At 38.0% G+C, this 13,264-nt stretch overlaps 1 long non-coding RNA gene across 2 annotated transcripts in view; it reads left to right on the top strand.

Annotated features, from left to right (window-relative positions):
* The window catches only part of LOC102724572 (uncharacterized), a 42,841-nt gene that overhangs the window by 8,045 nt on the left and 21,532 nt on the right, over positions 1–13,264 (top strand). Inside the window, exon 2 of one of the 2 annotated variants that reach the window (XR_001737665.2) lies at positions 9,797–9,939. The exons of the other annotated variant lie outside the window; for it this stretch is intronic. This is a non-coding gene — a long non-coding RNA (uncharacterized LOC102724572). The remainder of the gene's footprint in view (positions 1–9,796; positions 9,940–13,264) is intronic. 2 annotated transcript variants of the gene reach the window in all.

Consider the following 13,264-nt stretch of genomic DNA (forward strand, 5'->3'; position numbering starts at 1 on the left):
TGGGCATATGGAGAAAGAGGAAGGACAAAGGTTCAGGGCCAAGAAAGAGCATGTCATTCAAGGAGTGAAAAGTTTTCATTGTGAGTAGAATGTGGGGTGGATGGGAAGACTGTGGGCAGAGATTGCAACAGACCCCACATAATGAAGAATTTTGAGGCTATTTTAAGGAGTGTGAACCTTATCTTGAGGACAAGAATGAGGTATTGAAGGTCCTTAAACTTGGTCTGACATGATCATATTTGCATTTCAGAAAGATTTTGCTCTTTATTCTTTTTTTCTTTCCTAACATAGGCAAGATATGTGATATGGAATATATCAAGATAGACTGAATTTTTTAATTTGATTATGCTGTGGAAAAGTTTGGAAACAGCACAATAAGCTCTAATGAAAGGTACAAAAATCACAAATCATGAATTGGGCACATGGCATCTAAGGCACAGTAAATATGACAGTGGCCTCCTAATAACTTTGTTCAGAAAACATTGCTGATTTATTTCCCTTCACAATGATATCATGTACATCATATCTGTGAGATTTGTTGTTGGATTAAGCAAGGAAAGGGGTCACTCTGCATCACCCTGATGAATTATATCTTTTGATTGCAAGTGACAGAAATCAAAGTCAATTTAGCTTAGGTATAAAAGGGAATTTATCATTCCATCTGTTGGAAAGGCTGGAGTGATCGGAAGCAGATTCAATTTATCTCTCTGCTTGTTGGCTTTATTTTCTCAAGCATTGTTATCCACGGGGAAGTAGGGATAACTTCTGGCTTCTCTGGTATGTTAGATTAAATTATTTAGAAGCAGACCTTGAAAGGAATTTATTAGGAAGTGTTTCTGGGAAAATCTGGTGAGGGAGTAGAGATGGGGCCAGAGAAGGAAAGGCAGACAAACTAAGGTGCACAGGTGTGAAATCAAGTGAATCCCCTTGGCTCAATTCCCCAGGAGGACTCCAAAATGGAGATTTCCCCTCAGCCTTGTCCTGATAACCAAATATTAGTCATTAGTTAAGAGCTGCTTCCAGGGAATCATAAATTTCTAAGATCTTTCAGCTAAATATGTGCACGTACAAAGTGAATCTGACATCCTGAGGGCAATCCTCCAACCAAGACATGCAGGTGTATGAAAATGGTAAAGAGATTTATAAGGAAGTGGGTGAGGTATGAACACCATCTACTACATCTTCTCTTCCTTCCTACCACTCTTTCTTACCCTTACCTATCTCTCTCAACAAAGCAATTCTAGACTCAAGTCTGATTGTCAAGCCTTAGGTTACACTCGCCCTGTAAGTGTATATCATTTTATATCACTATGACACAAAGTAATGATAAAATATTTTGTCTGATCAAGTTTAGGTCATGTGTCTTTATGAAAACCAGAGTAAGAGTGTACCTTAGTAGAAACACAGGGAAAGAAATGCTAGGCAAACAGATACCATAGATATTTACTAAGCTTCCCATCCCACAAGTCTTATATGTTATTCTAAAACACTATAGAACTAGCTCCCTGAAGGCAAATTGCCAGGAAGACTAAGTCTGAAGTAGTGCTGTACTAGTTTGGGCCCTTTGTTGCACCAAAAAAAAAAGTCTATAATTAGATCTGGTTAACTTAGGTAGAGAAAGCATTCATAGCTCACAGAAATCTAGGAAGCATGGAGGATTAGGATTGGCAGGAATTGAGAGAGATCTTAACAGCCAATTTGCTGAAACAAGAATGATCAGATGGTGCAGTCACCACCACATACCTATGTACCTACCATCACCAATGACAGAACCTCCATTGCAGGGCACTTGCTAACATGCCAGGGCCCCCACAGCACCTGGACACTTGTCTTCATGCCACCAGATATTCTCCTTCTCTGTAGCTCTAACTGACCTATGTTCACAATAAATATATCTTGAATATATTTTATTTACATTCTCCTATGAGTTGGACAGAGGGACATGTGATCTAGAAGACAGCACTAAATCTGTCTACCAGTTCACAATCTGGCGTTCTCAAATTGAGAAAAACATTTTAGAACTCATGACAAATGCATTTTTTTAATTCTAGCTACCCTTTTTCCTGGCTTATAGAATTATGACTCTAGGGTCAGTGCAGTGTATGAAGAGGCAATGTATTATAATTGGTGCTTGATGTACCCAAATCATGTAGGAAACAATACATTATGTGTTTTCTTTCTTGGGCATTTGTTTTACAGACCAGTGAACCTATCTAGAGTTCTAAGCCAAAGAAAATGACAAGTGTATATTGCCTACCTTTAGTACACATCACAGAACTTTCTTGAAACACAAAACCCTTTGTCTTCCTGGCGGGAATGAGAAAAGCAGAGCTTGCTCAACTAGTCTGGCCCTTGGCACAATTGTGGAAGTGAAATTGGGTTCACGAGCCATAGTCTCCCCTTTGTGTATTATTCTCTCTCTTCTCTGGTGCCTTCATTGACTACTTTTCTTTTGACTGCCTCTTAAATGTAAGACTTCCTACGATTTTCTTCTTGGATCCCCTTAATTCTACTCTGCCCATGTCATCACATCCCCAGTGATGCTTTCACTAACATTTTCAGCCATTCAACTCACAAATCTCTATGCCCAGACCTGGGCTTCTATATTTCCACCTCATGTCACAGCACTGCTATTCACCTATTTTCCCAGGCCAGAGACCTGCATGTCATCTTTGATAGCATCAGCCCTCTTACCAAATTCTTGAACAGTCTGAAATTGAAGGGGCATACACCTAAAATGGTTTTAGGTTTTTTTCAGAATCTCTGCCTTCAGTGGTGCTAAATTAAATCTCCTTTTCTTCCCCTGAAGACCACCTTGGGAAGGTTCTGTACCTCTTGGTTGTTTGTAAACCATAGTACTGTACAATTTAAAACTCCACATCTGAAATACTGTCTGTTGGTTTTCACTCTTCCTCTGACACTGTTCTTAGAAGCACATGTGAATTCTTCAGAGTTCGGTTGCCTGATATGAGAGCTATGGCTTAGCTTAGTCTTTTGTTTGTTTCTTTCTTGAAATAATTAATTGACAAATAAAAATTGTACATATTCAAAGTGTGCAACATGACGATTTGATATATGTAAACCCTGTGTGAGTGTTAATTACCATAGTCAAATTAACACATCTATCACTAACCATAGTTACCATTGTTTGTGTTTTTTTTCGGAGGGAGGGTGAAGACACTTAAAATCTGCCTTCTTAACAAATTTCAAGTAAACAATAGAGTATTATTAACTATGGTCACCATGTTATATATTAGATCCTCAGAACTTACTGTATTTATAACTGCAAATTTGTAGCCTTTGACCAAAAACTCATTTTCTCTTCCCCTCAAATCCTTGTCAACCACTCTGCTTCTATAAGTCTGAGTTTTAAATTCCACATACAAGTGAGATCATACAGTTTTTGTCTTTCTGTGTCTGACTTATTTTGCCCAGTCTTTCTTTTGGCCCCTACCTCTTATGCTTCATCCCAGCCTTTAATTTCCTGTGCCTGCACAGTCTCTTGCTGCTTGTTCAGGTGACACTGGAGGTAAGAAGACTTGTTGGAAAGTTACTATAATAGTCCAGAAAAAGAGAGGACCTGAACTCATGAACAATAGGGGACATAATAATGGCAAAAGTAACAGTAATAGCTATTACTTTGGCCTCTCTACTGTATGCCAGGCACTTTATTACATCCCTTCTTCTTCCCATAGTAGTTCTGCAAAGTAGAGGTCATTTTCCACTTTTCAAAGGTGAAACTCAAGGAGGTTATGTGTTTTTCTAAGGATCTTATATTTAATAGGTGGCAAAATTAAAATTAAAATTTATTTCTAAAATTTTTCCTTCTTTCCGTTCCTACATTTCATTACAATACAGATTCCTGGGGGCAATACTTAATCCTATACTTAAGTCAGGATCTTTAGAGAAAGGTCCTGAAAATGTATATTTTTAACAAATGTTTTATGTGATTCTTTTGATCAGGTCAACTTGGGAAAATTAGCCTCAAATTAATATTGAAACTCAGCCTAAGCCTGCAGAACCTGGCCCCGACTATGTCTCCAGAACCTTTCCTTCCAGTTCCTAACACCAGTGGAATGTTCCAGCAATTCCAGTCCTCTGACTCTTCCCTGGAAACACTATGCATTTCAATGCCTCCAGCTCTTGGATGTACTGGTCCCTCTTTGGTGAATACTTTCTTTGGCACTCCACCTTTAAGGTCCTGTTCCATCATAGTAGTCCCCATGAAGCCTCTGGCCAATGTTGGGCTTCTTTTCCTAACTATTCTAGCAGAGTTGCTCACTCCCTCCTCTCTGCTTCTCCCATATCCATACCCACATCACCTATTACACTTGCACATTGTATTATAATGTATTCATTTAAATATTTGCTTCTCCCAATAGGTTGCAATAGAATCTTAGACTCCAAAGAGCCTACTACAGTTAGTGCAGTTTTTAAGAAATGTGCCAGACTTTTGCCTTCTCTACTGCTGTTGGTGGGGATAGTCTGCTGCTGTCATTTTGCTTTTGTTTATATTTATCTCTGCATTTATGCGTATATCTTTTCATATAACTTCTAAGCACGTAGGCAGGAAACAGAAATTTGAACAAAAAGAGGTAAAGGTGGAAAAGAATGTAAATAGGTATTTAGAAAGAAAATACCAAAGAAAATATCCTTGTTTTTCATGACTGGTTTCAGTTTTCTTCAGTTTTCTGAAATAGGTGAGGTTACCTGCTGAGATATAATAGAAGGAGATTGGAGGAGGGGATAAAGAAGAGTGGTAAAGAACTGACATAGATGTTTACGAAAATTAGAGAAAAAAGCTATCCCAAACTAGGTGGAGAACATAGATTTTTCCTGAGATGGTGACATTTTCTTCAGAAGTTCTTGGAATTCCAGGTGTAGGAATGGAGAAGACGGGTACAAGGACTGACCCCAGAGTTGGTGTCTGCTGAGTGGGTGTGAGGAGAGGGGGGTGATGCTTGGGAAATGATGATGTTGATGGGAGGCGTGTTCAGGTGAGCCTGCAGATAGAGATGGAATAAGGACAACAGCACATGGCTAGGGGAAAGTGAAAGCACCAGTGAGCATTTCTGAGTTACTGAAAGTATGGGGAGCTTTAAAAGAGAGGACATTTGTGTCATGTTCCTAGCGCCGCTTTAGCAAATTACTACAAACTTAGTGGGTTAAAACAACAGAAATTTATTCTCTTACAGTTTGGGAGACTAGAAGTTTGAAGAGTTTACGGGGCTAAAATCAAGGTGTCTCCATGGCTAGTTCCTTCTGGGGGATCCAGGGAGAATCTGTCTTTTATCTTCTAACTTCTGGTGTCTACATCGCTCCAATGTGCTTCCATCATCACATTGCTGTTTCCTCTTCTGCAGTAGTAGCTATCTTATAAGGATGCCTGTCATTATGTTACTGGTCCCACCTGGATAATCCACGATGACTTCCCTATCTCAACATCCTTAACTTAATTATATCTTCAACTTTTTTTTTTTTTTTTTTTTTTTGCTGTATAAGGTAATATAGGTTCCAGGGTTTAGGATGTGAACATTTTGGGGGACGGGGGTTCTTTATTCAACCTACCACAACATTGTATGCCGATTGTGGGTTATTTTTGTTAGACTTTCAATAGTGGAGCGGTTCCCAGTGAAAACAAGGTCCAAAGTGTAGTCATGAGTGGGAGTGAATGAAGGTCATTGAGTCAATCAAGAAAGCAAATAACTAGAGTATCAGATGAGCCATTTTTTAGGACACTGAAGCCACCAGGATATGGAGCATGCTTGGGATGCATTGAGACAGTGGCTAGTAACTTGCCCCAGGTCACACAGTTTGTGGGTGGGGGGAGGTAGAACTGATTACCTTTATTATTTTTATCAAATATTCTACTCTAATTTCTGGGATATCTGTAAAAGAAAAGAAGACAAAGAGAAGAAGGAAGTCTATTTGCTGTCTGTGCCAGAGCAAGCTTGATTATATTCTCCATTTGTATCCCTTCCACCCACTTTCCCACCTCCAGATCTATTCTCAGTCCTTCTCTGCCCTCTCAGTGCCCAGCAGGCCAATCTCTACCACTTAGATCTCCTAGAGTCTCCTGTCCTCTGGCTTCTAATTGGGCTTACTCATGGGAGGCCTCCTGCAGGAGTCAGAAGGGATAAGTATTGGTGTAGTTACGTACCTACCCCCTTCTCCAGCCCTGACTACTGTGGTCTGCCGGAGACTAAGTATTTCTACATACAAAACTCCCTTGTGGTAAAGCCGCTTTCACAAATCCAGGTGTTTCTGGCCTCTGGTAACTCTTTTCCCTTGTTAGCTTTATCAGGCCCAGCTTCCTGCTCATTGCTTGATTCTTGGTGTTTCACCATCCATTGTTAGTTTCCTTGACCCTGTCAATCCCTCTATAAATGATCTTATTTACACTGTCTTCCGTTAAGCCTTCTGAATGTTTGATCTATTCTCTGCTGAGATTCTGACTAGTATAGTGTGGTATAATTCTAGCCCTTCACAATATTTTCCTTTACAAATTATCATTATAATTTGGTATTGCTTCAGAAGTCCCTTAGGTCTCCATTCTTTTGGTTAGGAAGTTAATTTAAAAAAGAAATCTCAATTTGTTTATCACTCTTGATAATGTTTTTTGTTGCTTGTATAATTTCAGCTTGTCTTCAATTACAACTAACAGAAAACATTACCAAGAGTGAATAAGCAAACTGTAGTTTATTTTTAATGACGTAATAAGGACAAGTTATACCGTTAGGTGCTGACATTGGTTCATTGCCTCTATATTATCAAGGCTTCGGCTATGACTGCTATGATTCTTTGGTTTTCCTTCATGGATACAAAATGGCTACTAGAACTCCAGGCTTCATATCTGTATTCCAGACAGGAAACAAAGGAAAATATGGCACCACCCACATTTATCCTATTATGTTTTCAGAAAAGCAATTGCTTTCCCAGAAGTATTCTCTCTTCAAAAGACATCTACTTGTGCCATATGTATCAGAACTGGCATGAACAGCCACCACTAGATGCAAGAGACTGGGAAAGAATCAAATTTAACTTTTCCTATAAAGGATATGGGCAAGGGAAAAGAAGTTTGGAAACAGATGTTAATTAAGCAGGGATGTCATCGACACTATCTTTCCACATAACCTTAGCAAAGCATTTAAGAGCATGCATTCTTTTTTTTTTTTTTTTGAGACGGAGTCTCGCTCTGTCGCCCAGGCTGGAGTGCAGTGGCGCGATCTCGGCTCACTGCAAGCTCCGCGTCCCGGGTTCAAGCCATTCTCCTGCCTCAGCCTCCCAAGTAGCTAGGACTACAGGCGCCCTCCACCATGCCTGGCTAATATTTTGCATTTTTAGTAGAGACGGGGTTTCACGGTGTTAGCCAGGATGGTCTTAAAGGAGCATGCATTCTAAAGTCAGAGTGCTGAGTTCCAACCCTAGGTCTACAATATTCTATCTGTGTGAATTTGGGAAATTACTTACCCTCTCAACGCTTCAGTTTCCTCAACTGCAAATGGAGATAACAAAGTTATTTTTCTATAAGGGCTACTATTATGACCAAATGAGTTAATATGTGCAGCATTTAGAACAGTGCTTGGCACCTGGCGAGCACTACATAAGTTTTTATATAATTTTAGCATTGTTCCTACCAAAACACACAAAGAGGAGGCCGCAAGAAATAGAAAAAGTGGGGGCCAATAAGAAATAGCATGAACAAAGTTTAGGCAAATTGTGAAGTTGAAAATATTCTCTCCTTTTCTCTTCTCTTTCCCTTCCATTCCTAATCATGACCTTCCAAGGCTTACACAACCACCCAGATTTCTATCCCTGTCTTGCCATGCAGAACTTGCTGCCAAGCTTACTGCATGCATTTGCATTGCACCCAACAGTCAGTCCATAGATATTTTTAGGTTATTACTTTGTTTCAGGGGCTGGGAAAGAATCATGAGTAAAACAGCTGTGGCTCTGTCATGGTGTTTCTTACAGTGCAGTTGGAAAGATGATATTAAAACATAATTAGATAGAGAATTAATTGGTGTTTGATATAGGCAAAACCAGAGATTTTAAGTACCCTTTGAGAGCATCCTAATCTTAGGAGCCAGAGAACCCTTGCCTGAGGAAATGATAATTATACTAAGACCCAAAGGTGAGGGAATTAGCCAGGTAGAGAGGTGGGGTTGGGACAGAGGAGTAGAGAGTTTCAGTAGAGGAGAAGGTGTAAAAACCTAGAGGTTAGTGTGTGTGAGAAGCTATGGACCTATCTCTCCCTCTTCTACTTCATCAAGAATGTCTTTCCAGTCTGTCTCACTCCCTCTGAACTGCTACTAGTTAACAGTTGATTGTGAGTTATTTGGTGAAACTCTAACTGCTCAGGACACTTATGAACCTCAGAATTTTCTCTTCCCAGTTTCTTGGAAGAAAAAAAAGACACTGATGAGCTATCCACACTAAAGTGTTAAAGATTTCTAAGTCTTGATATACTCGGCTTTCAGTCTATTGATATTTGAACAAGAAACTTCTAGGTACATCAATGTTTGCTTCATAAAGAGAGACTTTGATAAGTGGGAATTTCAGCTTTTTAGGAATTTATTTTGTTGTAGGGAGTTGGTGGGGATGAGACCAGATTATTTATGTGATGCAATAAAAACCACATTGTCTGAAGGTAAACTTGTAATTATCTCAAGTATGTTGGCACTAATAATGACATGAAAAACTTGATGATTTAGTGTTAATTGGAATATAATCATTCATTATTCATTAATACAATTAAAGATTTATAATATTTCCTTTTTATGAGAATCAAAACTTTGAAATACTATTTAGAAAATAAGAATGGAAATGGGTTTTAATTTTCAGGACTAGACAACAGTGAATACAAAAACATAATTTTTATTCTTTTTCTCATTGCTGAGCTGTGCCTTAACCTATAGTCAGCTCTTTCAGCAAAGCAATTGCTTTCTGAGTTGTGTTGTCCCTTCTTTACTCCAGAGCTCCCATGTGGCTGGCAAGTGTAGGGAATGCTGATATCTGTGACTTCTATTTCTTTCTGAGGGAGAAAGATAAATTTTAAATTTGTAATGTTACATCTAATCGTAAATAAGCAGAGGATGCAAAAGCCACATTTATGAGGATCTAAGGATTAAGGGGAATCTTGAGTGTTGTAAATAGTGCAGATTCTTCAAGATGACTTTATTAAATTAACATAGAATGCAGAAGCACTTGTCAATATCACACAAGGTATCAGACTGGATTAATGAAAAAATAATTTGTTCTCCACTTCACATCAGCTTCGCAAATTTGAAACTCCTTCAAATGATTGTCTTCTTTGTGTTATTTACAGCTAAGCATTCATAGTTATTCTAGCTCCCCTCCAGGCTGATAACTCTGACTTCTCATTCATGAGTTATATCCAATTGTTTCTGCTGTACCACAGTTATCTGCCTTTCTCATGGTATATGTATACATTTATGTGTACCTTGACTTAGTCCAGAATAAATGACACACTTCAATATATTGGACACATTACATGCTAGATTTTATGATAACTTTTGTTTGCTCAGAGGCTGTTAAAAACTTTCAATATTTTCACTTGAAAAAGGTAAATATTCAGATTTTTAAAAAAGTTTTTGATTCTTCAAACTATATCACCTATTTAATAAGCTGGTATATCTGCTGCAGAGGTGTAAGTCTGGTTCAATTTCAAAAGTCTACAGCTATTACTAGGGAAACCACGGTCTCTTTTATCAATTAGCTGTTGGGGTAAAAGCTTCCTGAGAAACCTCTAATTGGTAACTCCTTGTCCTAGAAGGTCTGTCAGAGATGTGAATGTATATCCAATGGCCATTACCTCTCTTGTGGCAGTCGATGCTAGCTACATGCAACAGAAATTCATTTCTCCAAGTGCGAATAACAGAAAATGTTGAGACTTTCAAGCCCTTTTGGGAGTAACAGGTATTCCATAGATACGATTTAAATTGGTTTAATTTTAAAAGCAAATAGAGAAAAATTGCAAGGGGCATTTTAACTGCTAGTGACCGAAAGCTGCATAAAAACTTCAGCTTTCAAATATTAAATGATGATAGTCCAACATTTTATTAAAGCAGAATAAGAAAATTCAAAATTAAAACATTACTAAATCATAACTCAGTGTTTGTATTTAAAATCATTATAGTGTATGTGTCAATTAGTAGTAAGTACCACATAAATGGCAATACCCAAATTGTATACTATTATTTCCATCTCCTCATTATCCACATCAGAGAAAAGTGTTATTGATACTATTTGTTCATCTTTTACATAAAAAATGTATTGAGCTTCTAACATGGCCAGAAACTATCTGAGGCATTGTTGGTACAGAACATAGTCTCTGTCCTGAAGAATTTACTGAAGTCCAGTGGTATAATCAGCCAAAAAACTCAGAATTTACATAATCAGAAAAGAAAAGTTACTAAATAAACAAAGAGAAAAAACAGCAACCACAGCAATCATAACCAAAATAGCATTTAACCAAAACAACAAACACTGGAAAGAAGGTTAATATAATTTCAAAAGTTACTCAATAATATTTAAAATGTTGAGTTGACACCCAAAAAAAGAGACATGCAACAAAGAAAGTATGGCTCATATATAGAAAAAAAAATGTCAGTAGAAACTGTTCTTGAATAAGTCCAGATTTGGACTTACTAGAAAAAGACTTCAAATAATCTATTGTAAATATGCTCAAAGAACTAAAAGAAGCCATGTATTTTTAAAAAAGAAAAGTATGATATAAGAATATCTCACTAAATAGAGAATATCAATAAAGAGACAGAAATTATATATACAATACTACATATTATATATATATCTATAAAGTTTTAAACTACAGTAATTAAAAGAAAATACTCAGTAGAGAAGCTCAAAAACAGATTTAAGATAGCACCCTCCCCTCCAAAAAAAAGGAAACCGTAAAATTGAAGATAGATCAATTGAGATGGCCCAGTCTGGGGTACAGGGAAAAGATAATCAAGAATAATTAACAAAGACCTGTGCACACCATCAAGCTTACCAACATACATTCAAAGGGAGTTTCTGAAGAAGAAGGAGAGAGAAAGGGGTAGAAAGAATATTTGAAAAATTAATGGCTGAAATCTTCATCCAATTGGGTGAAAAACATTGATCCAGGAAGCTTAAAAATTCAAAGGTGAGAACCTTAATTAGATCTGTTTCTAGACATGTTATAATCAAACTATTGAAAGACAAAGAATCCTGAAAACAGCAGAGGGAAATATCACATACAAGGGATCCTCAATAAGATTAAAACTGATTTCCATCAGAAACCATAATGATCAGAGGACAGTGGGATGATATATTTAAACTGCTAAAGGAAAAAGACTATCACCCAAGAATTCTATATTCAAATATCCTTCAATAAATTAAAACATTATCAGAGAAATGAAAACTAAGATATGTTGTTGTTAGCAGACTTGTCCTACAAGAAATACTAAGGGAAGTCCTTTAGGCTGAAATAAAATGATAGTAGACATTAACTTGAATCCACATGAGGAAAGAAATAGTACTCATAAAGGAAACAATATGGTAGTGAAAAAGACAACTGTATAACACAATAATTATAAAACATGTTTAAAGGCATATTATATATAAAGATATAATTTGCATAACAATAACACAGAGAACAAAAACAAATGGATGCATATTGGACCAAAGTTTTCATATACTATTGCAATTAAGTTGGTACTAATCCAAATGATGTTGTTTTAAATTAAGATGCTAATTGCAGTCCCCAGGCAACCACTGAGAAAATAACACAAAAATATATAATAATTAAAGAAACAATGATAGAATTAAAATAGTACTGATATGGTTTGGCTGTGTCCTCAACCAAATCTCATCTTGAATTCCCACATGTTGTGTGAGGGACTTGGTGGGAGGTAGTTGAATCATGGAGGCAGGTCTTTCCCATGCTGTTCTCATAAAAGTGAGTAAGTCTCAAGAGATCTGATGGTTATTATAAGAGGGAGTTTTCCTGCACAAGTTCTCTTTGCTTGCTGCCATCCACGTAAGACATAACTTCCTCCTCCTTGCCTTCCACCATGATTCTGAGGCTTCCCCAGCCATGTGGAACATAAATCCAATTAAACCTCTTTCTTTTGTAAGTTGCCCAGTCTTGGGTATGTCTTTATCAGCAGCATAAAAACAGACTAATACAGAAAATTGCTACCAGTAGTGTGGGAAGCTGGTGAAAAGACACCTGAAAATGTGGAAGCAACTTTGGAACTGGGTAACAGGCAGAAGTTGGAACAGTTTGGAGGGTTCAGAAAAACGCAGGAAAATATGGGAAAGTTTGGAACTCCTTAGAAACTTATTGAATGGCTTTGACTAAAAGCCTGATAGCCATATGGACAATAAAGTCCAGGCTGAAGTGGTCTCAGATGAAGATGAGTGACTTGTTGGGAACTGGAGCAAAGGTGACCCTTGTTATGTTTTAGCAAAGAGACTGGCAGCATTTTGCCCCTGCCTTAGAGATTTGGGGAACTTTGAACTTGAGAGATGGTTTAGGGTATCTGATGGAAGAAATTTCTAAGCAGCAAAGCATTCTAAAGGTGACTTGGGTACTGTTAAAGGCATTCAGTTTTATAAGGGAAGCAGAGCATAAAAGTTCAGAAAATTTGCAGCCTGACAATGTAATAGAAAGGAAAATGCATTTTCTGAGGAGAAATTCAAGCTGCTTGCAGAAATTTGCATAAGTAATAAGGAGCCAAATGTTAATCACCAAGACAATGGGGAAATCCATTTTCTGAGGAGAAATTCAAGCTGCTTGCAGAAATTTGCATAAGTAATAAGGAGCCAAATGTTAATCCCCAAGACAATGGGAAAATGTATCCAGGGCATGTCAGAGGTTTTCACAGCAGCCCCTTCAAAGCACAGGCATGAGTGTGGTGACCTAAGAGAAAATGATTTCGTGCGCCCAAGGTCCCTGTGCTGTGTGCAGTCTAGGAACTTGGTGCCCTGGGTCCCAGCCACTCCAGCCATGATTAAAAGGGGGCAAGGTACAGCTTGGACTATTGCTTCAGAGGGTAGACACCCTTAGTTTTGGATGCTTACATGTGACATTGAGCCTGCAGGTGCACAGAAGTCAAGAATTGAGGTTTGGGAACCTAGATATCAGATGTATGGAAATGCCTTGATGCCCAGACAAAGTTTGCTGCTGGGGCACGGCCCTCATGGATCTCTGCTAGGACAGTGCAAAAGGGTAATGTGGGGTTGGAGCCCCCAC

Source organism: Homo sapiens, chromosome 1 (assembly GCF_000001405.40).
Source record: "Homo sapiens chromosome 1, GRCh38.p14 Primary Assembly".
Lineage (NCBI taxonomy): Eukaryota > Metazoa > Chordata > Mammalia > Primates > Hominidae > Homo > Homo sapiens.